Source organism: Homo sapiens, chromosome 1 (assembly GCF_000001405.40).
Source record: "Homo sapiens chromosome 1, GRCh38.p14 Primary Assembly".
In the NCBI taxonomy this organism is placed as follows: domain Eukaryota; kingdom Metazoa; phylum Chordata; class Mammalia; order Primates; family Hominidae; genus Homo; species Homo sapiens.
The window spans coordinates 46,029,425-46,054,607 of record NC_000001.11 but is presented as its reverse complement, the minus strand read 5'-3'; the positions used below and the strand labels follow the sequence as shown (position 1 = coordinate 46,054,607).

Sequence of the window (25,183 nt, the reverse complement as noted above, 5' to 3'; positions counted from 1 at the left end):
GACCTTGATGCATGTAACACCACTCAATTCAAACTACTGGCAGGAGAAGACAGAGCAGAGACCTCTGAATCTGGGTTTTCCATAGACTTCAGGGTTCTTTGTGTGAGAAAGAGGGAGAGGATGAAATATACACCTAGAGATTGGAACTGTGGCAGAAGAGTTTCAGTAGAGGAAGATTTAAGGTGATTTTTTTTTTTTTTTTTTTTTTTTGTGAGGCGGAGTCTCACTGTGTCACCCAGGCTGGAGTGCAATGGCACAATCTCAGCTCCCACTGCAACCTCCACCTCCTGGGTTCAAGTGATTATCCTACATCAGCCTTCCGAGTAGCTGGGAATACAGGCATGCACCACCATGCCCAGCTAATTTTTGTATTTTTAGTAGAGATGGGGTTTCACCATGTTGACCAAGCTGGTCTTAAGCTCCAGACCTTAGGTGATGTACCCACCTTGGCCTCCTAAAGTACTGGGATTATAGGCATGAGCTACTGTACCCAGCCTAAGGTGATATTTCTTGGGGTAAACAATTACAACTACACCATGCTGAGTAGTTTTTAATACCAGCTCTCTCAAGAGATCATTTTAGTTTGCTATTGTGGCCAAAAGTCAAGCCAAGTGTATATAGCATACTGAAGAGCTTTGTAAACAAGGCAAGGAGGGTGCTCTTATCTGTAAATGGGGTGTGTCTGCTCTTGGAATGCTCACGTGGTTCTGGTCACATCATGAAGCTGAAGAAAGGCTCAAAAAGGCTATGCTATACACCAAAACAATGAATGGAAGTCCTTCTTTGCCCTGAAAAGCAATAAGAAATACAAGGAATATACCATCCCAAGGGGCGTGAATAAGTGTGGTGTCTTAGTCTGTTTAGGCTGCTATAAAAAAAATCATAAATTGGGTAGTTTGTAAATACCAGAAATTTCTCACAGTTCTAGAGGCTAGGAAGTCCGAACTCAAGGCACTGGCAGATTTGGTGTCTGGTGAGGGGTGAGGATCTGCTTTCTGGTTCATAGATGGCACCTTCTACCTATGTCCTGGTAGAAGGAGCTAGGGGGTCTCTATCAGGCCTCTTTTATAAGGGCACTAATTCCATTCATGAGGGCTCTGCCTTTATGACCTAATCACCTCCCAAAGTCCTCACCTCCTAATACCGTCACCTTGAGTGTTAGATTTTCAACCTATGAATTTTGGGAAGATACTAACATTCAGACTATATAGCATGTGGCAAACCAGACCTTGGAAGTTTCTTTAATGGGTTGTATAAACTAAATACAGAAGACAGAAAGAAAACAACAGCAAAAAAAGACAACAAAAACCATACACACCAAAAAAAACCACAGAAAACAAAACAGTGACACCACAACAACAACAACAAATATAAGAGTTTAGATAACATCATGGATGACAAATTCATAACCTACAAGTAAGGACAACTCAGAAGTGTAGGGAGACACAGACAGCCATTACCTCTTTTGGAAGGGCTGCTTCCAGGAGAATAGTTCAGTGTCCCATGGTCCATGCTTTGATGTTTCTAACAGAGAATTGTCTCTGGGCTTGGTGGATTTGATCTATTCTAATGCTGGAATTTGTATAGTCGGTCCTGAAGAAGACTGGTAGTAAAATACGTGTCTCATATTAGCATTGCTGCATGATACTGAGTATGATCTCTCTCTGGTCTTGTTTTAAAGGAATAGGGTGGAATTCTGTGATACCTACCTAAAGACTGTCATTAGTTCTTTAAGCCCTCTTTGGATGTGGTCATTTCCTTGACTGGCCACTCCATAGCCCACAAGGATTCTATGTGATTGTCTGCTGAGAGCTTGGTGTACTACTAGTAGGATATTCTTGAGTGTTTAAATACAGAATTTCATTGCTTAAATATAGAAAAAAAATTCTAGGATATTATTCCATTTACTGGAAGCTCAAGAATAGGTAAAACCTATCTATGATGATAGAATTAAAAATAGTGATTATTTATGGTGGGGGTTTTGATGGGAAAATGGGATGAGGAGCCTTTAAGGGTTCTAGAAATGTTCGAATCTTGATATGAGTGGGGTTCCATGGGTTTATACATAGGTAGAAATTTATCAGTACACTTAAGATTAATGTGCTTTATGTGTATTATAACTCAATAAATACATTAAAAATTTCTTAGGTATCAATTTTTTAAAAAATTCCTTTTCAAAAAAAGGAATTTTGTTGTTAATATGCAATTCTTTTTCCTCATGAGTTAAGGCTAGCTTTCATGATTACCATTTACCTTTTTTGGTATTGTAGTCCCCCTTGGTCCATGGTTTTGCTTACTGCGGTTTTGCTTTCCGTGTTTTCTGGTATCCCCAGTCAGCCACAGTCTAGATAGGTGAATACAGCACAATAAGACATTTTGAGAGACCACATTCACATAACTTTTATTCCAGCATATTGTTATAATTGTTCTATTTTATTCTTAGTTATTTATTTTATTTAATTTTTTTTTTGAGATGGAGTCTCACTCTGTCACTCAGGCTGGAGTGCAGTGGCGCGATCTCAGCTCACTGCAAGCTCCGCCTCCCGGGTTCACGCCATTCTCCTGCCTCAGCCTCCCGAGTAGCTGGGACTACAGGCGCCTGCCACCATGCCCAGCTAATTTTTTTATTTTTTTAGTAGAGATGGGGTTTCACTGTGTTAGCCAGGATGGTCTCAATCTCCTGACCTTGTGATCCGCCTGCCTCGGCCTCCCAAAGTGTATTATTTGTTTTTGTTAATCCCTTACTATGCTTAATTTATAAATTAAATGATCACAGGTATGTATGTGTAGGAAAAAACAGTATATATAGGGTTTAGTACTGTCTGCTTTCAGGCATCTATTTGGTTGTCTTGGAACTATTCCCCATGGATAAGCAGGGGCTACAGTATTCATAAACCAAAATTCATAAATTTAAAATAATAACGGCCATAACAATATAGGTACATAATGATGATGGGTTTTTTGATGCATATTCTGCTTAGGGAATTGATGAGTTTTGAGTAATATATATATAGGGGAGTTTGCAGATAAAGGAGTTAGTTCTATGTGGCCGGGTGCAGTGGCTCACACCTGTAATCCCAGCACTTTGGGAGGCTGAGGCAGGTGGATCACCTGAGGTCAGGAGTTCGAGACCAGCCTGGCCAACATGGTGAAACCCTGTCTCTATTAAAAATACAAAAATTAGTCAGGCATGGTGGCGCATGCCTGTAATCCCAGCTAGTGGGAAGCCTGAGGCAGGAGAATTGCTTGAACCCGGGAGGTGGAGGTTGCAGTGAGCTGAGATCGCCCCACTGCACTCTAGCCTGGGCAACAGAATGAGACTCTGTATTAAAAAAAAAAGAAAAAAAAGTTCTGTGGAGGGTGCTGTGTTCTGGTTTTATTTTTTGCTTTTACAACTTTATTGAGATACAGTTTACATCGCATACAGTTCACCCATTTAAAGTGTATTATTCAATGTTTTTAGTATGTTCACAGGTATTTTGTCATCACCACATATTTTAGAACATTTTCATCACCTTAAAAAAAACCCTGCACTGTTTACTTAACATCCCTATCACCTCTTTCATTTAGCCCTAAACAACCGCTAATCCACTTTCTGTGTCTATGGATTTGTCTATTCTGGACATTTCATATGAATGAAAATAATGTAAAATGTACTCTTTTGTGACTGGCTTCTTTCACTTAGCATGGTGTTTTCAAAGTTTGTCTGCGTATGTCAGTATTTCATTCCTTTTTATGGCCAAATAATAGTCTGTTGTATAGTTATACCACATTTTGTTTAATCATCATCAGTTGGTGGACATTTGGGTTGTTTCTGTCTTTTTGGCTATTTCAGTAATGCTGCTGTGAACATTTATGTACAGGTTTTTGGATGGATGTGTATTTTCATTTTTCATGGGTATATGCTGAGGAGTGAAATTCCTGGATCATATGGTAATTATCATTGTGTAGTGGTTGCACTATTTTACATTCACACCAGTAGTGATAATTGGGGTTTCTTAAAGTAATGAATCATTCTTTAATACATTTCTTTTCTTTTTTTGAGACAGATTTTCGCTCTTGTTGCCCAAGCTGGAGTGCAATGGTGCAATCTTGGCTCACTGCAACCTCTGCCTCCTGGGTTCAAGCAATTCTCTTGCCTCAGCCTCCTGAGTAGCTGGGATTATAGGCGCATACCACCACCTCCAGCTAATTTTTGTATTTTTAGTAGAGATGGGGTTTCACCATGTTGGCCAGGCTGGTCTCGAACTCCTGACCTCAGGTGATCCACCTCCCTCAGCCTCCCAAAGTGCTGGGATTACAGGCATGAGCCACCGCACCTGGCTTCATTCTTTAATATATTTCTGATAACTAAATTTTTATAAGTGATTTTTCTTTTTAAAGTATTGTATATGTTATCCCACTTTGTTTTTATGTAGAGAATATGTCTGTCCATAAAATTTGGTGGAAGACAAGTTTCATTCCTCATTTTTTTTTTTTTTTTTTTGAGACAGAGTTTCACTCTTGTTGCCCAAGCTGGAGTGCAATGGCACGATCTCGGCTCACTGCAACCTCTGCCTCCCAGGTTCAAGCACTTCTCCTGCATCAGCCTCCCAAGTAGCTGGGATTACAGGCGTGCGCCACCATGCCTGGCTAATTTTTTGTATTTTTAGTAGGAACGGGGTTTCACCATGTTAGCCAGCCTGGTCTCGAACTCCTGATCTCAGGTGATCCTCCTGCCTTGGCCTCCCAAAGTGCTGGGATTACAGGCATGAACCACTGCGTCCAGCTCCATTCCTCATTTTTTTTTTTAATTAAATTTATTCCAAGCTCCCACTGGCCTGGTTACATTAAAAATATTTGATCTCTGTTATCATTCATACCTCCTACACAGACTGACACTTGGATCATGTAAGAATGTCATCCTGAAGTAGTGCCAGAAAATTAGAGGAGCACAAAGTCCTTTGTGCCTCCCTCTTGACTGCTGTCATTGGGTGCTCCTCTGCCTAATCATTGGGTCTTGCCATCTGGCTATTTTAGAAAATTCCAAGGTGTCCTTCACAGTAATCTCATCACTGGCTACCAACAGATGCTGCATCTTAAAACCTCATTCTCCATCCAGGATGCCCTGTGCCTGAGGCACCGTTTTCTGTCACCCCGTTTTCTACTTCAGCCAGGCTCTAAGCTTCTGCTTTCTTCCAGGACGAAGGCGTCAGCTTCAAAGTCGTTTCTCCTGTCCTTCTCTCTCAGGGGCTTCCCAGCTTAATCCTTTTGTCTTAGACTGAAACACAAACTCTCTTCTTAAAGTGTGGTAGTTGGGCTGTAAAACCAATTAGATCTTTAGAAAGGACACTATATAATACATATTTTTTCCCTTACTTGCTGGGGTAGGGCTAGGAAAAGATATGCTAACACCAGCTATTTTTAATCTATGGAAGTAGTATTTTCCTTTTTTTTTTTTTTTAAGAAGAGATTGCTGGGCCAAAGAGAGATGGGTCCAAGACCATGCCAAAAAATATGTATATATAGTATCTTTTCTAAAAATCTAATTGGTTTTACAACCCAATTACCACACCAACAGAATCAGAGCTGGATGTTAGGTCTTTGAATGTTTTGCCTCAGATTTTTCCTGTAGAATTTATTGCATCTATTTGTGATCAGTGCATGATTCGATAACATTAAATGTGAATTAACGTATTTACTAAAGCTATTTGAGGTTTTTGAAAATGGTTTTTAAAATCTAATCAACTCCTGGCATTGTTAATAGGTTTGTAAGGACTCAGAACTAGATAAGTCTTTGAAATGGACTTTTAGGAGATTGGAAAAGTTGCCTAAGTCAGAAGGTAGGCACCATCATAAATGGAGGGTGGAGCAAAAGCAATTTTTCTTTTTCTTTTTTTTTTCAATTAGGAAAGTGTTAGGAAATGAGTTCCTAACATTGTGTGTGGCAGAAAGGGAGGCTCAGTTTAAAGAGGTTGGTGGTTAAAAGAAAATGGGGATTCAAGAGAAAATGTCGTGCATTCATTCAACTCACACTTTTTTACCCAGTGTGCATATTTCTTTGATAAAGAGAAGGTCAGTTTCTTTAAGGATAGAAAACTTTGGGTGATAAGAATGCTTAGAGGAGGGCATCTGGATATTTTGATGACAGACGCGATGGTGTGGGGGAGGGGGTTTGTTACTAAATCAGTTGTATCAAGATCACATATTATCTATTTTCCAGTTTTGCTAAGAATAAAAAATGAAATCCAAGTTAACTAAAGGGCAATTCTTACTGAGAAAGACTGTGAAATCTGTCTAACAGAACTTTAAAATTAGGTGTGATGCCAAGTTATCTTGTATACTTGGGGAGATACAGGATGATCCTGGAGTTGTGAAGATTTTGTTAAAAGCAGCCCACCAGCAAATATTTACTGACAATTGAATGTCTATGTGCATGTGCTGTTTTAATAATTGGCAACATAGCCATGAACAGGACAGACCACTTTCATTACAGCAGCTTACATTTTATTGGGGAGACAGACATAAACAAATACAAATATAAAATAGGCCTGGCACGGTGGCTCATGCCTGTAATCCCAGCACTTTGGGAGGCCAAGATGGGCGGATCACCTGAGGCCAGGAGTTCAAGACCAGCCTGACCAACATGGTGAAACCCTGTCTGTACTAAAAATACGAAAATTAGCTGGGCATGGTGGCGCGTGACTGTAGTCCCAGCTACCCTGGAGGCAGAGGTGAGAGAATTGCTTGAACCCTGGAGATGGAGGTTGCAGTGAGCCGAGATTGTGCCATTGCATTCCAGCCTAGGTGACAGAGTGAGAGTCCGTCTCAAAAAAACCCCAACCAACCAACCAAACAAACAAAAATATAAAATAATGGATTTTAGCTAAGTGCTATGAAGATGATAAAACAAGGTAAAGTGTAGAGAGTGACTGGGGACTGCCTTAGTTGGGACAGTTAGGATAGTCCTCCCTGAGGGGATGGTGTTGATGATGAAACCTGAATGATAGGAGCCTTGCTTGGTGGGTAATGATGAACGAAGATGCTTTCCACTCCACTCTAGTTTTAGACTATTGGCCATCTGAAAGGAACAAAGTGTGCTGGTTTACCTCATTTTACATTTAAAATACTAGCACATTTTAAGATACTATGATTTTTTCTTTTCTTTCTTTCTTTCTTTTTTTTTTTTTTGAGATGGAGTCTCGTTCTGTCGCCCACACTGGAGGGCAGTGGTACAATCTCAGCTCACTACAGCCTCCACCCCCTGGTTTCAAGCAATTCTCCTGCCTCAGCCTCCCTAGTAGCTGGGATTACAGGCATGCACTACCACACTTGGCTAATTTTTGTATTTTTAGTAGAAACGGGGTTTCACTATGTTGGCCAGGCTGGTCTCAAACTGCTGACCGCAGGTGATCCACCTGCCTTGGCCTCCCAAAGTGCTGGGATTACAGGCATGAGCCACCGCGCCCGGCTTGGATACTATGATTTTCTTGGTAATGAAGTTCACTCATATTAATTACTCAGATTGCCACCCTGAATTTCTTGTGGCCTGCTTAAATGCAAAAATAGATCTTGAAGTTTTTAGTTAAAATATTAAACTCAATTCAGTAGGTCACACAGGAAGTGTGTCCTCAGGCTTAGTGGAGATTGCAAATGTGACACCATGCTAACCTAATGTTTTCAGAAACAAATGTCCCACTGTGAGTGCGAGTATGTGTGTGCTTGTGGTGGCACATCCTCCAGAAAAGAAAAATGAAAAGTGAAGGGCCTAATTTCAAGTAGCCCTCTATGTTTCTGCCTTTTTCTGGAAAAGATCAGTTCATCTTGATAGTAGTTGAAAGAAAAGTAATCGAGAGACTAATTTTGGGAAATCTTTGCCCATTCTGTGGGATTAGGAAAAACAAGAGGTGTCTAGACTCTAGAAGTTTAGTTGGCTCAGACATACCTACTTTGTCCAGTCAGAGTTTGCATGGATACTGACACTGGTGTCTTTCCTCTGGCAGATGGCTCAATCACAAAGGAGTGAGACAGAAACGCCTGAATGTCTGGCTGGGAATTAAGAATGAGGATGCTGATGAGTAAGTTCTCTCTATACCTTTCTGTCAGAGGGCTTTGTTATCAATATAAGACATGCGCCTTGTTTATACGTGGTAAATATTGGTTGTCATTGTCACTTGAGGACATTGAATCTAGAACTTTGACTATCTTTTGAATTGAATTGCCTGAAGGTACCCTATAGGCACTGGAGTTCAGAGACCTGCTTCTGAACTCAAAATCTGGATGTGTAAGCTACTTTGAGTATAGCTACCCAAAATCTGGATGTAAAAGCACTTTTATTCAGATGTTCATATTTCAGCTTATTGGATGAAACATGAATTCTTTGCTTTATGCACCATAGCAAGTAATGAAGTTAACACCCAAATAATTGCAATTTTGCTTTGTTATTTGTGGTTTAAAGATTTAGAAGAGTGTTTTATTTATGAATTTGCTTTTAGATAGAAGTAACTTGTTAGAATAATATACTAATATTTAATTTTTAGGAACTATTTTATCAATGAGGAAGATGAAAACCTGCCCCATTATGATGAGAAAACCTGGTTTGTTGAGGATATCAATCGAGTACAAGCAGAGGACTTGCTTTATGGGAAACCTGATGGTGCATTCTTAATTCGTGAGAGTAGCAAGAAAGGATGCTATGCTTGCTCTGTGGTGTAAGTCTTCTCTGGGGATATAACCTTTTGAAATCTTTTGCATCAATTATTATAAAATCAACCCCTCATAAAATTCAGATGAAATTAGTTAATGTACAGTAACGAGGACCCATGGCTCGGACCATAACTATTAGTACAAAAAAACCCAGCTTTATGAGAAATGATATCTGAAATTATCTTGGAGTTTTAATTTACGTGGTAAGTAGATTAGGCCCCGCAGTATTGCTGTTGGATTTCAGGTGTCTGTGAAAGGTAATGTGAGATCTTAAATTGAAAAAAAAAAAAAAAAAAAAAAAAAAAGCACTTAATTGTTTAGTAGTATCCTATATGTCTAGTATGGTCTCCAGTGTCAGATTAGGAAAAGCTTGATTAAATAGAACTGTTTTTACTTCAGAAGGAAAACTCTATCTAAAATTTTAAATTACATATTATTCTGTTGATGTAGTGACAGGAAATGTGGGCGTGTTTTCCATAAGATAATCGTGACTTTTTTGAGAAAAGCCTATTTTCCTTTTAATGGAAAGTGAAATTTTGGGGATAACTAACTGTGCTTCAGTCAGATTTTTGCCTGAGTGTGGAATATATTCTTTAAGAAGGCAAACATCTTCACTGACAAAAGCCACACTTAGAAAAGAGTTATGATGGTGCCAGATATACTGGGTTCAGCTCCTGGCTCTACTGCTTACTAGCTGGGTAACTTTGGGTAAATTACTTAATCTTTCTTTGCCCAGTTTCCTTATCTGTAAAATAAGGATAATACCTACTTTAGGGTTTTTGTGAGGATTAAATGAGTTAATCTGTGTAATACAATATGCTTTTAACAGTGCAGGGACATAAGAAGTAAATGTCACCTACTAATATGATGATGATGCTACTGATGGATGTGGCAGAAGTCAAACAAAGTGACAAAATGATTGTGCCCTTAGAGGGCAAGGTGGAGAAGGTAGGCGAAAGGCATTCATATTAACAGACTGCTCAGTGCTTTATGTGATCATCTTGTTCATAGTGCTCTACTTGTATCATGGAGTCAGAGTTTGAATCCAAGTTTACCTGGTTTCAAAACCCACATTTTTCTATTGCACCAGGCTTTTTTCATTTCACCAAATATCCACAATGAATAGAACCACTGTGAAATAAGTATTATTAGTAGGCTGTGCACATGTGGAAGCATTAATTTTAGTGGAGAAAGAGCGGATTGGGAGGTTTTGTGGAAAAGGTATCTGAGATGGACCTCAAAAAGATGAATGGGATGTCTTATGGGCAGAAAATGGGGGAGGAGTTGAAAAGTGCATTGGATTACTGTTATCCAAGGATAGAACTACTTGCAACATTTCATTTCTCCTTGACTTGGGCTGTTGAAGTTATCTGAGTGGAAATGTAGGCGAGAATGGTTCTTGTAAGACTTAGGATCTTCTAAGAATAATAAAAAGAAGGAAGGCAGTAAGCCCAGTCGCTCACTGTCACTCAGGTTATTGGGTGGCAGCCTGTAGGTTCAGGACTTGGCTGCAGTCCTTACATAAACTGATTAATCAAAAACTACCCTTGGCTGGGCGTGGTGGCTCACACCTGTAATCCCAGCATTTTAATAGGCTAAGGCAGGAGGATTCCTTGAGCCCAGGAGTTCACGACCAGCCTGGGCAACATAGCAAGACCCCATTTCTACTAAAAATAAAAAAGTAGCTGGGCATGTGGCTCACACCTGTAGTCCCGGCTACTTGGGAAGCTGTGGTGGGAGGATCACTTGAGCCCAGGAGTTCAAGGCTGCAGTGAGCTGTAATCAAGCCACTGTACCCTAGCTTTCGTGATAGAGCGAGACCCTGTCTAAAAAAAAAAAAAAGAAATAAATAAACCCTTACATTTGTGGTTGTTTTAACACCCGTATCTGTGGCCAAGTCTGTAGGGAATGGGAACGCAATTTCACAAGCTTTGCCTGGTTAACAAAAAACACTTGTTTGCATAACAATTGCTCTCAGACTTCTGGCCATTTAGTGTCCTTTTATCTATTGTTACCTACCTTAACATTTCTTCTGTGGTTTGTCATTGCAGGGCCGATGGGGAAGTGAAGCACTGTGTGATCTACAGCACTGCTCGGGGCTATGGCTTTGCAGAGCCCTACAACCTGTACAGCTCTCTGAAGGAGCTAGTGCTCCATTACCAGCAGACATCCTTGGTTCAGCACAACGACTCCCTCAACGTCAGGCTTGCCTACCCTGTTCATGCACAGATGCCCTCGCTTTGCAGATAAAGAGGAAGTGGGAAGAGAGGTGGTTCTCTGGCATTTTTTTCTACAGTTTTTATTAGACTACGATGAGGGCATTCTTTCTACATAGACTGCTTGTTTTGCACAAGAAGTGATTTTGTGAATGTGAAGTGGAGAGGCCGAGCAGCAGCCGGCCGGGATGGGGGCATTAGAGGCCTGAGGTTCTCTAGGACTCAGCCATGCCGCTGCACTGACATACTAAGCTGGAAGCAGATGTTTTTTTTGAAAGTCTGTTTCATTGGGGTTTTTGTTTTGTTTAGCCAGACACCCTCAACAGAATATTAGGCTTGATGGTTATAGCGGGTGGGGTTGTATTTGGAAGCCTCTGAAGAGACCATGTCTTTTTAAAATCTAACTCTTGAGAGTGCAGCAGGGGCATGGCTCTGCTGGGAGTTGTGTTTTGCTTTGGCAGTCTCTCTTCCCCCCACGAAGAAGGCTGTTTAGGTTTTGTGATAGAATGGGATTTGATGAAAAAGACAACCAAAGGAAAATGGGGAGGCTTGGGATTTCATTTAAATAATCTAAGCCAAGATGATAAAAAAAACCTTCAACTGAAGGTATTTTGTTTCTTACCAACATAATTTAGGCTTCAGCATCTCACCAGCCCCTCCCTCTGAAGAAGTATTATGTTCAGAAGCCAACAAAACAGTTTGTTGCCAGACCAATGTTTGATGGGAAAACGTGGCACTCATAGTTGAATGTATACTTCTGTACCAAAACTTGAACATAAAAAGACTAGAATTTGTGAGTTTTAGCAAACGCTAAAATTGATCACTGTAACTAACCCCTTCTGTCCTTCCTGCCTGTTTCTCTGAGATGAGGAATAGCATTCTTTTTGTGGGGATGGTGAGCTTTGAATCATAAAATGAAGTTGGTGCTTGTATGGTGTTTCCTTAGCCTAAAGAATGATCTGTTGTTTGAAACCTTTGTAACTTGTTTGTATGAGTAAAGAAAAGGTGCAATGCAGTGCTTTTAGATGGCTTGATATACCAAATAACAATATAGAACAACATTATTATATGTGCTTCCCCAAGTTTAAAGGCCCTGCAGAAATAGTAAACATGGTTTAATTTCCCTTCATTTCCCCCTCCTTTGCTGGATGGGGTTTTGGGAGCTATAGGTTGCTAAGGAGGGGAGTCAGATTGTGGTCAGGTGCCTCAGTAAATCACAGACCCAGGGGCCCTGTGGTCCAGGGTGAGAGTCACACCACATTACACATGTGCTTCCATACAGTGGTTTCTGAAGCTTTTGCAGGGAGAGAAGATGGCTTAGTGTTTAGACTGTTAGTAGAAGCCATCTGGAAGCTTTTCTCTTTGCCTTTTTTTGTGATCCTGCCATTAAGGCTATGTGCAGTCTGCCCTCCTGCTCCAGTGGCCTTGATTTTAGGCCAGGAATCTTCTGCTCCATGTGGCTTAAGCCTTCCAGCTGAGTGAAGCTAGGCAAATGGAGTGGGGGCAGGCATCTATTCCTGCCCCCATCATGCCCCACACCCATCAGTCAACACTCATTTGACAAATAGAGTCCAGCTGCCTCTGAGCCAATCCTGGGACCATAATAGGCTCAGAGTGAGTCAGCTGTTTGAACCCAAAGCTGTGCAGTCAGGCACCCTGGCTGAGCTAGAGAAGCCAGTACCTGCATCTTGGTTTATAAGGCTTACAGCTAGGAAAGCTCTAGTTCTGGGGGTGAAAGAAAAATATTAGTTTACCTGAGCACTTATTTCCATGACAGGGTCTAAAATATGGACCATGATGTAGACACAGATTTTTAATTTTGGAAAAACCTCCAGTTACTAGTGACGAGGATAGAAAGGGAAGTGCTTCTCTTTGGCTTTTTCTTGGTTACACTGCAGTTTCAGGATTGGGTGAGACAGAGACAAATGAACCCCCCTCTAAAGTCATTTAACTAATAGCCAGCACATCCCTTCCCCAAACTGTCAATTGAAATCTTAACTGAAAGTTTTACTGAATAATACCAAGCTAATTGCTGTTGGGCACACCTGGATGGCTTTGCACCTGGTGTTGAACCTGCTGAAGCAGGTGGATGCTCAAGATTACGTGCAAGGAATCCCTCCCATCTGGTACTAAAATTTCAGTGTGTTCTGAGTGTCTTTTAAACCAAAATGGAAATACAGATACAGGGCTGTAGTATTCAGTAATGTGTCTGCTCCTTGTTGGGCAGACACCAGCGGTGTGCAGGGAGAGACCAAGTACCATCTTTATCTACACTTGGGCTGGCTTGTGGAGAAGGGCTGCTTTTTTTCAGTCCTACATTCCTTCATTTTTTTTTTCATTCTTGAATTCATTGTTTTGTGGGATCTAAGACCCAGGGGTCATTTGAGAGGTTTGACAGTATCTTTTCTGACCAGTTGCCACATGACTTGCTTGACCCTGAGCCTGTGGAAATGGCATAGGGACCAGTCTACTACCCACTGGGCCTGGTGTGTAGAGGGGGAGAGGGTAGCAAGGTGCTTCTCTACGCCCATGACTTGGGAGCAGGTCTTGGCCTCCTTCATGAGAGTCTAGTGCCATGTCCTGTCCCATGATCTGGACCCTGGGACTGTCTTGGCATCTTAACTGCAGTTTCAATGAGGCAGAGGGCAAAGAGAGACCAAGATCAGAGGGGTTCATTATACCCCTGGCTAGAGAACCCAGCTACTGACATGCAAGCAGCTTGGGGCTGGCTGGACACAGGTACTAGGCCCATTGTTTCCAGGTGAAGCTTTCATCACAGAACAGTGTTGTCTCCACCTGGCCTTAGATGGCACGCCATGATTCGGGCCTGGATAGACTGCCTGCGTCCTTACCACTGATCTGGCCAAGAATGAGGCCCTCCCAACACTTTCACTCCCTCTCCAAGCCTTGATGGGACCTCCACTTATTTAGGCCTCATGTGCTTTGAAGAAGCTTTGAGAGCCAATGTGTCTTCCACGGGTCTCTTTTTTGCTACAAGTAATCAGCCCCATGTGTTCTCTTAAACTGAGAATTGCACCTGGGCAATTCCTGTTTTCTAAGGTGGTCTCTGCTGCTATTTAACAACCCAGAGTAGGCCTCTGTGAGGCTTCAGTGGCCTCAGAAACCAGAGGGTCCAGATAGGGGGCCTGCTTGGGCCCTCTGCTGCCAACTGCTCAAACCTGCTTTAGCTCCAGCCACTTGTGGCAAACAACCTCGTTTCCTTACAAATTCCAGCATGTGACTTTGGTGCCGTTACTTGTGAAAAATCTATTCTGTTGTCTTTGATGTGTCCAAGAAAATTCGTGTAGTTTACGTAAAAATATCTGACTCACAAGAAAGCCAACTGTATGTCTTGTGATGGGACAGTTCATAATGTAGTTGCTAGACCACTTTACAAATTGTTCTTGTCACCAGATGTGTTCAGACATTGCTGTGCAATTGTTGGGGAGGGTAGGGGGAAAGGCGAGAGGAGATACTTATTGGTCTTTTTGTTTAATACCTTCCCCAAGAGGGGACAGTCTGGCCAACTTGCTCCAGTAATGCAATAAAGACATTGCAATAAAGTAATTTTTTGTCTTCATGCTATGAAGGGGTGGGCTGGGGGCAGAGTGGGGGTCAAGAGAGAAGAGTACTCAGGTGTTGAACAGCCCTTGAAACTTCCAAACCTTCTCTCCAGTAAGCACCAAAAGACTAGTACTGGGGCAGCCAGAGGCTCTTTTCTTCCTAGGGGAGGACATTGACTCCAACTAGGCATGATGCCAGAGTCCTGTCCACCGAACACAGACACAGAAGTCTTAGATACTGACTCTGAGAAAATTAAAACTGAATGCCATTTCCTCCACACCTCACTGCCCACTCCTAATAAGCTGTTTATTGGTTCTCATATTTCTGCCCAGAATGAAGTGTTTCCACATTCTACTCTGGGGGAGGGGGAAATGGGCCCAGCTTTATAATCTATCCTCTTATTGCCCCAGGCCCTTGTCATCTCCTGCCAAGGCACACTGTTGAGCTTCCTGTATTCTGGGAACGTAATGAGCCAACATGCGATAACCTCTTGTTGCATAGGATATTGCAGCGCTCATCCATGTCTCAGGCCCCACCCATGTGTACTCAATTATAAATAAGTCAGATTGGGCAGGGAACAGCCTGTTGTTCTAAGTGACCTTGCCTATGTCTTTTCTCCCCACTACACTTTAGCTACACAGCATCCCAAGACCACTGCCAGGAACTATGGATTTCTCCTAATCCCAGAGTTGTTCGCACTTCTGTGTTTAGGATGCTCAAATTCCTAGCTCCTTCCCAGTTCTTTCTTCTGAACTCTACCCGCTGGCTGGATGTTTCCACTGGGCTCCTGGGTATCTCACCGACACTTCAAACTTGTTTACTTGGGGCTGGGCGTGGTGGCTCATGCCTGTAATCCCAGCACTTTGGGAGGCCGAGGCGGGTGGATCACCTGAGGTCAGGAGTTCGAGAACAGCCTGGCCAACGTGGTGAAACCCCGTCTCTACTAAAAGTACAAAAATTAGCTGGGCGTGGTAGCATGCACCTGTAATCCCAGCTACTCGGGAGGCTGAGGCATGAGAATTGCTTGAACCTGGGATGCAGGGGTTGCAGTGAGCTGAGGCCGTGCCACTGCACTCCAGCCTGGGCAACAGAGCGAAACTCTGTCTCAAAAAAGCAAACTTGTTTACTTGTCAGAAAAAGTATGATTGGCTATGAATTTCCTCACCTTCCTACCACCAAACCTACAACCTTATCTATATCTACATAACTATTCTCCCTCCCATCTGTTAAATTACAATAGTCCCCTCCAACTAAAGTCAATCCTTCCACATGTATTTTGGAATCTATTTTCTTCCACCTCAGGAATCTCCCAAGATTAAGATCAATTCTTTCTCTACTTCAACTGGATCATTTCCACTGACACTTAAACATGGTTGGTTGGTTCTCATTCTACTCCCCTAATCCCTACTCAATCATCCCATATACCTTTATCTCTTTTCTCCTCTTCAAAGCCAAGCCTTTGGAAAGAACTGTCTTAAATTTCCTTATTTCCCCATCTCAAATATTTCAGTACTGGTTCCACCACTGTTTGAAACTGCTTTTCTTGATGCCTTCAATAACCATCGCTGTTAACTATCCTGTCCATGGAAAGCTCCTTCATGGACTCTATCACAACTCACTAATCTAATATTCTTCTGACATCTGACTGTTCTTTTACATCTCCTGGATTCCTTCAGTTCTCAATGCCATTTTACCTGGCAGTTTTATCCACAGCCATGAATCCACCTACCATCTCTAGGCTGATTACATCTGTTTATTTCATTTGCCCAGACCTCTATTGGAAGCTACTTCATATTTAGCGTATGGAATGCAGCACTGAACTACTTAGCCCTGGTTCTCTTCCTTGTTTCTTATTTCGGTGAATGGAAATACAATTCATCTGGTTATATAAGTCAAAAATGTAGTCAGTCATCATCCTTGATAGCCCTCTGCTTCATACCTAAAGTCCTTCACCAAGTGTCAATCAAAACATCACTTCTAACTTCACTGCTTCACTACCATCTGCACCCTTCATCCTGGAAGGCCCCCCTTCTTCCATTCTTGTCCCCCTCAGATCCATTCTCATTATAGCAACCAGTCATCTTTTCAAAATACAAATCTGAACCGATGTAAAACATTAAATAAGTCTCCATTGATCTTAGGGTGAATTACAAAATTAGATGGTCTGGCTTCTCCCTGATTCAGGATCTCAATCCCCACCTTCAACTTTTCACTGGCTCTATCCCCCTCAGCTAGTGCCAGTATTTCGGGACTTCTTCCTCATTCTGCGTATGTTCCCTGGACAGTCCTCATCTCCTGTGGCTTTCATTGCCCTCTACTTCCTGATGGCTCCCAAATCTAGATGTCCAGCTTCCCACCCTTTCCTTCCTTACCTCCTCACTGTTGCTGTTCTAGTTCAGACCACCAAAATGGGTCACTACATCCTCTGTGGTACGCTCACTCCACTCCAGCCTCTCTATACTGCAGCGAGTGATCTTCCTAAAGCAAATGATAATACCACTTCCCTGAAGTTACCTTTTAGAAACTCTTCACTACCCTCAGGATAATCCCACCAGTTTCTCAAGGGGAACACCACTGACACTTGGGGCAGTTGCCCAGTGTGGTATAGGATGTTTAGCATCTCTGCTTCCTCCTCCCATCCCCATTTCCAACCCTCTAGGAGGGCAGTTCCCAACATCCTTTTCACCTGTGGTATGGTGCTTCTGACCAGATCCCTACATGCACGGGGCACTTGCTACCTCAGCCATGCCCCTGCCATTCTCCAGCTCACAACCTGTGATCTGTCTGCCCAGGTCCCGGTACATTAGCCCAGGGTCCGCTGTGAATGAATGAAGAAGTGGAGAGGACTAGAAGGCTGAGGGGCCAAATATCTGCATAAATGGGCTCTGCCACTGTGGATACAGTGCGCCCTCTGGTGGCCACAGCCTTCCCAGGCAATGGCCCAGAGGCATTTTCGTCTTCAGGCCTCCTAACACGTCTTCTTCAGACCTAGGCACTGGATTGTGGGACGATCAGTGCAACCAGTGCAAGACAGTTTCTCAAGTCCTCTATCACTATGGAGACAAAGCCTTGGTGCTCTACCAAGCCCCACTGCCTGCCCTGTGATGCCACCTCCTGACTCCCCTGGCACTGGTCCCACTTATGTCCTCCCCCTTCCTCCCACACTACCATCAAATGAAGTTCTACTCAATGCGGGCTACACACACGATGTCCATCCACCTCCAGTGCTGAGGCCTCTACCTACAACAGCCCAGGAAGAGCTCACTGGCTACAATTATGAAGGGCTTGTTACTAAATACGACTGGCAGCTGTTTTAATCTCGCCCTCACCTCGGCATTTATCGTTAACTTCTCTGTCCATTTTAAAACTCCTCCCATAGACTTTATGACTCTGCTGGTTGCTGCTTCTGTCTTCTCTTTTATCTCAAACGCACCCAAAGTTAAACTCTTTGCCTTCTCTCACTTCTTCCCCTCCTCATTTCCTGGCTGAGGCAATCCTAGTTAGGAGAGATGTGAGTTCCGGAGTCCAAGGGAGACCTACGTTCTAACCCCCGTTCTACCCAAGCTACTGTATTACCATGGGCATCAAAGTCTTAGTGCCCTTATCTATGAAGGAATTTTAGTTGCTACATGGTATTTTCTGGTTCCCCATCACCTTCACGAAGTCAAATCTCCTGGAAGACCATTAGACATGGCCCTTGCCTCACTTGCCAGACCCGTTTCTACTTTGAATTATCTTTGGTTCCTTGACTATGCCAGGTATACTGCATGTGCTAAACGTTGCCTGGACAGCCTTTCTTATGCCAACCTCCACTCTTCCACACCCAGCAAACTACTACCTATCATCTATTCTTCATGTTTGAGCTCAAATGTCAAAGCCTTTGGGAAGTCAAGCTGGGTTAGGTGGCCCTCCCCTGGTGGTGGAAACTGTTTTATTCACCACTATATTCCCAGCAGCAACACAGGACCTAGTTACATGTGGGTTGACCGAAGGAAAACAAGCAAGCAAAAGACATAAAGATGGTTTCCAGGAGCATATATTACACAGGTCTGAGTGCAAGAAATGGCAAACAACTGCTATGTTTGCTTTAAAAGCTCATCTGGAACCAATGCCAAATCCCGATGCTTTTGATGGCCCCCTGGTTCTTGGCCCCTCCTGAGGCTGGGCTCAGACTTCTGGGTGAGGGGGCAGCCTCGGCATGGAACGTCCTGCCTTCTGTCACCTGAGGCATCAGGCACTTGGGTGATGCTCAGGGCTGGATCCTCTTTCACTGCTTGTGCACACTCAGACTCCCATAGCCAGCCCTGGCTGGGATCCTCATAAGATGGATGGGCCAGTCTGGGGGCACTAGGTGGCTGTGTCTTCCCCTGCTCCCTGGGAGACAGGTTCTTAGGCTGGGCTGGAGTTGTGTTTTCCAAATCCTGGAGGTTGGCTAGCCCACCTGCCATGGTTGCCTTTCTGCTTGGGGATGCCCTGTCTGGGCCCTCAATAAGGGATTTCCAGGACCACATGCTCAGCTTCCCAGAGGTGGAGCTGGGAGGAGAGCAACTGCTGGTGGGGGTGAGTCCCGAAGTGCTGGGAGAAAGTGCTGTTAGTGCCTGGGTGTGGAGGTGCTGGGCCTTCCAGCAACCTTCAGGAGGGATGGGGTCTGTGGCTCCAGACTGACCTAGGTTGGGGCCTGCTGAGGAGGAGCTGGCAGCCTCCTCAATGGCTTGTGGGCTCCCGAGCCTCCTGTGGGGACCACTGGGACTTTCCATTCTGGGAGGCCCCAGTGTGATCCCTGTCAATAGGCTTGGGACCATTGGGCCCAGGCTCCTAGGGTCTCTGGACGGGAAAGGATCCTCTTCCCCACTCTCTCCTGCTCCTTTAGGGGCCACACTCTGGCTCACTTCTGGGTGAGGTGCCAAGCTCAGCTCCTGTGCACCCTGGCTGTTCTCAGGCCCTTCCTCGGTGTCGTCCTCTGAGGAGTCCACCTCACGAATGGCTTCTTGCTTCTGCAGCGACTCCCGTCGTTCGGCTCGGTCCTGCCGGAGGGTGCCTAGGGCCCGTGAGGGAGCAGGCTGCAGCACCCCCTTCCCTGGCAGGGCCCCCTTGCCAGACAGCACACTCCTGGCTCCAACTACCTCCAGAGGGCTCACTTCCCTGGGCGGCAGTTCCTTCTTTAGTTCAGAGTGGGGCAGGTCAAGGCTGTGCTTGCGAGAAGTGGCTAGCTTCTTCTCAGAGGCGGCAAGTGCTGCTGCCAGTTTCTCAGCCGACTGCACCCTCTTGAGTAGTGGTGAACGGGGTGGCTCCGCACTCTTGGGCCGTGAGAGTTGCCTGCCCAGGGGAGGTGACAAGTGAAGCTTTGTGGGAAAGGCCTGGGCTACATGGCCAGACAGGGGCGATGGGGACCGCTGAGGTGAAGCTGTTGGGGGTGGGGGAGAAGGGGTGTGGGCCAGTGGTGACAGTGGGATGCTGCCTGCTGACTTGCGCCGTGGAGAGCGGTACTGGCGTTGGAGCTTGGGTGCCAGACCGTGGAGGGAGCTGGGCCGTGTGTGCCCAGAGCCGGCTGGGGAACTGGGCACGCTGGAGCTGGGGGAGCTGCTCTGTGATGAATTCCCTCCCACTTTGTACAGAGACAGACAGACAGACAGACAAAAGCAGAGCAGTGTTAGCTGTTAGAAGTGACTCAAGGGCAAGACAGGGCTTAGCCCTGTTATGTCCCAGAAACCAAGCTACCCCCTTCCCCATCAATTAATTCCTCCCCAAGACTACAGGATCTTTCAGGGGGTGGGCTAAATGAGAGACTCAGAGTGGGATCTGTCAGAAGCACACAGGGCCTAGGAACTTTCCTATTTCCCAGGGGTTGTCACTGATCTGCAGGGAGCCCTTCGTACCTGAATGCACAGCATCGGGGGTCACCCGGTAGCCTTGAGTGGGAGATCGGGGGGAAAGGCTGTGGCTGTGTGTGGGAGAGCCTGGCCCACTCTCCCCTGATGACAAGGAGCGGTTAAGGGAAGAAAGGCTGCGGCTGGTGTGGAGCAGGGATGCTTGCTTGGTGATCTTGCGGAACAGGGAGCTCCTTTTTCTGCTGCGGGGATAAGGGTCAAAGGCTGAGTCGGTGCAGTGAGCACAGCACACACTGGACCCCCAGGGCCAAGGCACCCACCACGTACCAGCACTCATGTGGCTCAGAGAAAACCCTCTTCACTGCGCCTGGCTCACCTTTCTTGCCCATCCTTGCCGCGGCTCCTCTTGCTCCTTCGGGCCATCTTGGCCTTGTAGCTGCCCTTCCGAGCTGGCCCCACTTTAATGGATGTGTTCTCCAGGGGAGTTGTTGAAATGGCCACCTTGTTTCCACTCTGGGGAGCAGAGCATGAGGCCTAGGCTAAGCTGGAGCCATATTCTTGCCCCTCCCCTCCCCCAATCCTTCCCTTCTGGCATGGCTATACCACAGCTCCAGCTTTTTGTCCCTGCACCAACACATCTGAACCACAGGCCTATATTATTGTTTTTACAGATGAGGAAATGGCTCCCATTGGAGCCCCAGAGTGGTTTGGGGTAAGAAGGTAGAAAACAGGCTAATCCGTCCCATTCTGCAGCCCTACCCACAGCTCAGAAGGATCCCTGGGCCTTAGTCAGGGAGGGTACTGCCTTGTGGAGAAAACTCTCTGTTGTGCCACATTCAAGTTCTGTGTGTACCTACATCTTTTTTTTTTTTTTTTAAGACAGAGTCTCACTCTGTCACCCAGGCTGGAGTGCAGTGGTGCGATCTCAGCTCACTGCAACCTCTGCCTCCTGGGTTCAAGCACTTCTCCTGCCTCAGCCTCCCAAGTAGCTGGGATTACAGGCATGTGCTACCACACTCGGCTAATTTTTTTTTTTTTTTTTGGAAACAGAGTCTTGCTGTGTCTCCCAAGCTGGAGTGCAGTGGTATGACCTCAGCTCACTGCAAACTGCCTTCCAGGTTCAAGCAATTCTCCTTCCTCAGCCTCCCGAGTAGCCGGGATTACAAGTGCCTACCACCACGCTTGGCTAATTTTTGTTATTTTTAGTAGAGTTTTGCCATGCTGGGCAGGCTGGTCTCAAACTCCTGACCACAGGTGATCCACCCGCCTCGGCCTCCCAAAGTGCTGGGATTACAGGCGTGAGCCACCACACCCAGGCATTTTTTTTTTTTTTTTTTTGTATTTTTAGTAGAGGCAGGGTTTCACCATGTTGGCTAGGCTGGTCTCAAACTTCTGGTCTCAAGTGATCCACCTGCCTCAGCCTCCTAAAGTGTTGGGATTTACAGGCATGAGCCACCGCGCCCGGCCTGTGTGTACCTACATCCATACTCGGTGTAGATGTGTGTGCACCCAACTCACCCACTCCCCTAACTGCCATCACAGACTCACAGGCTGAGGTCATTCAGGGACCATGCAGGCAGCACGCCCAGCACTAACCTTCAGGATCAGCTCTACCACCTCCGTGTGCACCAGGCCATGCACAGGTTCCCCATTGACATGGGTGATGAGGTCACCTTGACGAAGCCCTGCCTCACTGGCCGGACCTCCATCCTCCACGTGCTGTGCCAGGAAGAGAACAGTACTCAGACTGGAGCCTGAACACGAAGTATGGGGCCTGGTTCTGGACATTAAGCTGTGAGCCCCTTCACCACCACCCTTTGACCCCCGAGCAGGGACAGATGGGCTCCACAAAGGGGAAGCTGGAAGGATGATGAAGCAGGGAGACAGCAGGTCTGGATGGTCAGACATACCCACACCATATGGTGCACGGTGTAGACATCGGAGTCACCCATGTAGACGCGAATGGCCCGCAGGGTGAAGCCATACTTCTTGCCAGCTCGGTGGATGATGATGGGAGGCCTCATGCTGCCAAGGGCTGGCAAGAAGTCCCTGCTTGGAGAAGAGTCCCGGGATGATGGGTTGGACGACTGAGAATGTGGGGACATGGGGCTGGCCAACGGGGAGCAGGTGTGGTGTTCTGGAGAAGGAGAAGCCAGGACTTAGTGGGTCAGAGGGCTTTGGCCTGGCCCCTGGTCCAGTCTGTTGATGTCAGCACAACTCTAGTCACAGACAGAGCCTGAGCCTAGGTCCATTTTCCCCACAGCCCCTGACCTGTGAAGCCCTCTCCCGTGTCCAGACCCCAAGAGACGGTGGTGGTGATGAGAAATGGCAGCTAGCATTTATGTGTGTATCAGGGACTATATAAGCTTGTCATATATATTTAAATGTCACAACCTATCAGCTGGCCTCTATTATATCCACATTTTTGGATAAGAAACTTGAGGCTTAGAGAAGTTAAGCAACTTGCTCAAGGTCAAGAGCCTGTTAGTGATGGAGCCAGGATTTGAGTGTGAGCTCTCTACCCCAAAGCCTGCACTTGTGACATGGTGCTGTCCTGCTTTCTGGCACATGTATACACAACCCCAGACACCAATACACACCTTCAGAGACCACAGTCAGATCTGTGCTTAACACACACACACACACCTGCCACGTGCAGAACCCTCCCAAGGCCTAGAGATTACAAGGCCCTTCCTGTGAGTTTTATCCCAGCTCCCCAGGGGCCTCACCCGAAGGAATGAGGAGTGAGAGGGCTGTGGCTGAGGCGGACTTGATCACTTTGTTGACAGGGCGAGCAGTGCGCTTCTCTGTTGAGTCCCCAGAGAGCAGCCGGTGGCGGGCCCTACGCACAGCCAGGTCACTGATGGCCTTGGCTGTGGCTCCCTCAGCCAGCTGTGAGGTCCCACGGCCTCGGGTCTCCATAGCTGTAGGCCCAAGTAAGCAGTGAGACCCGCGATGCCGCTGAGCCTCCCTGCCCTGCAGTATCCTCCAGCTTAGGTCGTTTGGCCGCCCACTGGGCCATACCTGGACTGGAACCACTGCTCCGGCCAACAGCTTCCTCATCCAGCTTTGGCCGCTGCTCCCCTGAGTGTTCAGTGACAGGCCCAGATACCCCCTCTCCAGATGGGGGTGTCAGGACCCATATACCCTCCTGTGGTTGCCTCCTGAGGGTGCTGCTGGCCTCCTCAGGGCCCTCCGGGAACCGAGGCGCATCCAGGAGGCCTGAGCAGCGGCGTCGCACTGTCATTGGAGGGCTTGAGTCACTCTCTGTGTGGGATGACTCAGACACCGACAGCCGCTTCCGTAATCTATGAGACACAAGGCCTGGGGTGAGTGACCCAGGTGGTCCCCCTCCTCCTGCCAGGTCTCCTTAGGGGCACACAAGGGTTATAGTAACAGAACTTTCCTCCGCAGACATTCCTCCAGGAGCCACCCTTGTGAATGCCCCCTCCCTGCCACCTGCACTCCTCCCTGGCATCGGAATCTCTCCCATGATCTGTGACAATGCAGGGATAGCTGTGTCGCCCACCCTGGGTGAACTCTGGGTGCTCACATCTCAGGGGAGCCAATCACCCAGCTCCGGTCTCGGCCTTTGAGCCCTGCCAGGCCATCTGAATGGTCCTCCTTCTCCTCACTCAGGCTGCGCTTGGTCGGGGGTGGTGTCCGGCGCTCCTCGAGCAGTGAGAGCCGCTCCATGCTGCTGTACACCTGTGGGCACAGGGGATGCGCTGGGGATGGGCTCTGGCAGCCGTACCTCCCAAGTGGCATAAAGCATCCTTGGCATCGGAAACCTAGGAATTTGAACCAGTCGGTTCCATCCCTCCTTCACACACCCCTGCTGAATATTTGGGGAAGGAGTTATTCCACTGATCTGACCTGGCATCTCATGTCAGGGACAGCAGTGGTTCTAGAAGCACCTATATATAGCTATATGTAGCCCCAACCCTTAGCTCCTCTTTTTCTAGAGGTGGCCCCAACCCCAACTCCCTGAGCCTGCCCCAGGTGTGCCCTTTGACAGGCCCTCTTCTTCTGATCCTCCAGCCTGTTCTGCCCATTCTGGGCCTCCTCAGTCACACCTTGTTGAACCTTGGAGAGCAGGAAGAGAACTGGCGGATCTCAAGGCAGCCATCCTCACTCACTTCTTCCTCATCCTCCGAGTCCATGTGGTGGTATCGCTCTGAGCGGGCTGGGCCAGACATAAAGGACACTTTCCTTCAGAGCCCTGCTGGTGGCCTCCTTGTGACCCCATTAGATTTCAGCAGAGCCCTGAGAAGTTGCTCCCAATGCAATTTCAGTGTGCACAGGTGTTTCTAGGCAAACAGGTAGGACCCATCCTCCACCCCACCCATCGGTGGCCTTACTGTCAAAATAGCTAGTATCATCCTCTGACTCCAACTGAGGAATAAATTCAGCCTTCTGGCGGAGAAGTCCTGTCCAGTCCAGACCAGTAAAGAATGGGTGCTGCTTCACCTCATAGGCACTGCCTGTGGACAGGGAGGACATGGGCAAGGGGGTAGGATGAGCAGCATGGAGTCTAGGTCAGCAAATCTAGCAAGAAGCCAGACCTTCAGAAGCTATACCTAGGGGATCAGCTCAAGCATCTTCCCTTTTCTGCCTACAGAGCAGGGCAGAGTTTCAGGATCCAGAGGGGCTGCCCGTAACCGAAGCCTGAACCTCCAGGGTACATGACTCAGCCTCCCTTACCCCTTTTCCAAGTAGTGAGAAAAGTTAGCAGGGCCTGCCCTACCTGTGCCAAGTCTCTCCAGAGGGTTCTGGTGGAGCAGTTTGGAGGTGAGGTCCTGGGCGTCTGGGGGCAGTGCCTCATCACCCTCAGGCCACACAATCTCATCTGAAGTCATCAGGGGTGAGAGGGAAAGGAGAAATTGTGGG

General features: G+C 46.3%; 3 protein-coding genes and 1 long non-coding RNA gene across 48 annotated transcripts in view, besides 5 other annotated features; 2 read left to right on the top strand and 2 right to left on the bottom strand.

Moving 5' to 3' along the window:
* P3R3URF-PIK3R3 (P3R3URF-PIK3R3 readthrough) overlaps positions 1-14,468 on the top strand; it is a 136,349-nt gene extending 121,881 nt beyond the window's left edge. The window contains exons 8-10 of the mRNA NM_001303427.2: positions 7,983-8,057; positions 8,520-8,690; positions 10,737-14,468. Of these exons, the coding sequence (NP_001290356.1) occupies positions 7,983-8,057; positions 8,520-8,690; positions 10,737-10,935 (445 nt within the window). The 3' untranslated portion in view covers positions 10,936-14,468. The remainder of the gene's footprint in view (positions 1-7,982; positions 8,058-8,519; positions 8,691-10,736) is intronic.
* The window catches only part of PIK3R3 (phosphoinositide-3-kinase regulatory subunit 3), a 134,762-nt gene extending 120,294 nt beyond the window's left edge, over positions 1-14,468 (top strand). For 11 of the 12 annotated variants that reach the window (NR_137329.2, NM_001328648.1, NM_001328649.1 and 8 more), the window contains 3 exons: positions 7,983-8,057; positions 8,520-8,690; positions 10,737-14,468. Coding sequence is in view for 11 of the 12 variants with exons in the window: in NM_001328648.1 (NP_001315577.1) it covers positions 7,983-8,057; positions 8,520-8,690; positions 10,737-10,935 (445 nt within the window). In the remaining variant the exon portion in view is untranslated. The remainder of the gene's footprint in view (positions 1-7,982; positions 8,058-8,519; positions 8,691-10,736) is intronic. The other variant, NM_001328652.2, reaches the window with a different exon arrangement.
* LOC124904171 (uncharacterized) lies at positions 679-2,379 on the bottom strand. Its single transcript, XR_007066061.1, has 3 exons — positions 2,254-2,379; positions 1,461-1,603; positions 679-788 (listed from the first exon to the last, which is right to left on the bottom strand). It is a non-coding gene; the product is annotated as an uncharacterized LOC124904171 (long non-coding RNA).
* Positions 9,874-10,717: an enhancer, noted in NCBI's record as "OCT4-NANOG-H3K27ac hESC enhancer chr1:46509563-46510406 (GRCh37/hg19 assembly coordinates)". NCBI's record gives its function as "activates a minimal SCP1, AML or CMV promoter by ChIP-STARR-seq in naive and primed H9 embryonic stem cells {active_cell/tissue: H9 hESC(naive and primed)}" and the evidence as "EXISTENCE:reporter gene assay evidence [ECO:0000049][PMID:30033119]".
* Positions 10,718-11,562: an enhancer, noted in NCBI's record as "OCT4-NANOG-H3K27ac hESC enhancer chr1:46508718-46509562 (GRCh37/hg19 assembly coordinates)". NCBI's record gives its function as "activates a minimal SCP1, AML or CMV promoter by ChIP-STARR-seq in naive and primed H9 embryonic stem cells {active_cell/tissue: H9 hESC(naive and primed)}" and the evidence as "EXISTENCE:reporter gene assay evidence [ECO:0000049][PMID:30033119]".
* Positions 10,932-10,991: an enhancer, noted in NCBI's record as "active region_989". NCBI's record gives its function as "activates an Ori minimal core promoter by ATAC-STARR-seq in GM12878 lymphoblastoid cells {active_cell/tissue: GM12878}" and the evidence as "EXISTENCE:reporter gene assay evidence [ECO:0000049][PMID:35858748]".
* Positions 17,144-17,645: an enhancer, noted in NCBI's record as "OCT4 hESC enhancer chr1:46502635-46503136 (GRCh37/hg19 assembly coordinates)". NCBI's record gives its function as "activates a minimal SCP1, AML or CMV promoter by ChIP-STARR-seq in primed H9 embryonic stem cells {active_cell/tissue: H9 hESC(primed)}" and the evidence as "EXISTENCE:reporter gene assay evidence [ECO:0000049][PMID:30033119]".
* Positions 17,485-17,534: an enhancer, noted in NCBI's record as "active region_988". NCBI's record gives its function as "activates an Ori minimal core promoter by ATAC-STARR-seq in GM12878 lymphoblastoid cells {active_cell/tissue: GM12878}" and the evidence as "EXISTENCE:reporter gene assay evidence [ECO:0000049][PMID:35858748]".
* The window catches only part of MAST2 (microtubule associated serine/threonine kinase 2), a 232,511-nt gene continuing 225,813 nt past the window's right edge, over positions 18,486-25,183 (bottom strand). For 21 of the 34 annotated variants that reach the window (XM_011541059.3, XM_011541062.3, NM_001324320.2 and 18 more), the window contains 11 exons: positions 25,041-25,142; positions 24,655-24,777; positions 24,370-24,479; positions 23,847-24,001; positions 23,318-23,601; positions 23,023-23,217; positions 22,204-22,430; positions 21,890-22,012; positions 20,670-20,806; positions 20,342-20,535; positions 18,486-20,070 (listed from right to left, as the gene is read on the bottom strand). In XM_011541059.3, coding sequence (XP_011539361.1) covers positions 18,542-20,070; positions 20,342-20,535; positions 20,670-20,806; positions 21,890-22,012; positions 22,204-22,430; positions 23,023-23,217; positions 23,318-23,601; positions 23,847-24,001; positions 24,370-24,479; positions 24,655-24,777; positions 25,041-25,142 — 3,179 coding nt within the window. In that variant the 3' untranslated portion in view covers positions 18,486-18,541. The remainder of the gene's footprint in view (positions 20,071-20,341; positions 20,536-20,669; positions 20,807-21,889; positions 22,013-22,203; positions 22,431-23,022; positions 23,218-23,317; positions 23,602-23,846; positions 24,002-24,369; positions 24,480-24,654; positions 24,778-25,040; positions 25,143-25,183) is intronic. The other 13 variants (XM_011541061.3, XM_047450096.1, XM_047450111.1 and 10 more) reach the window with 3 other exon arrangements.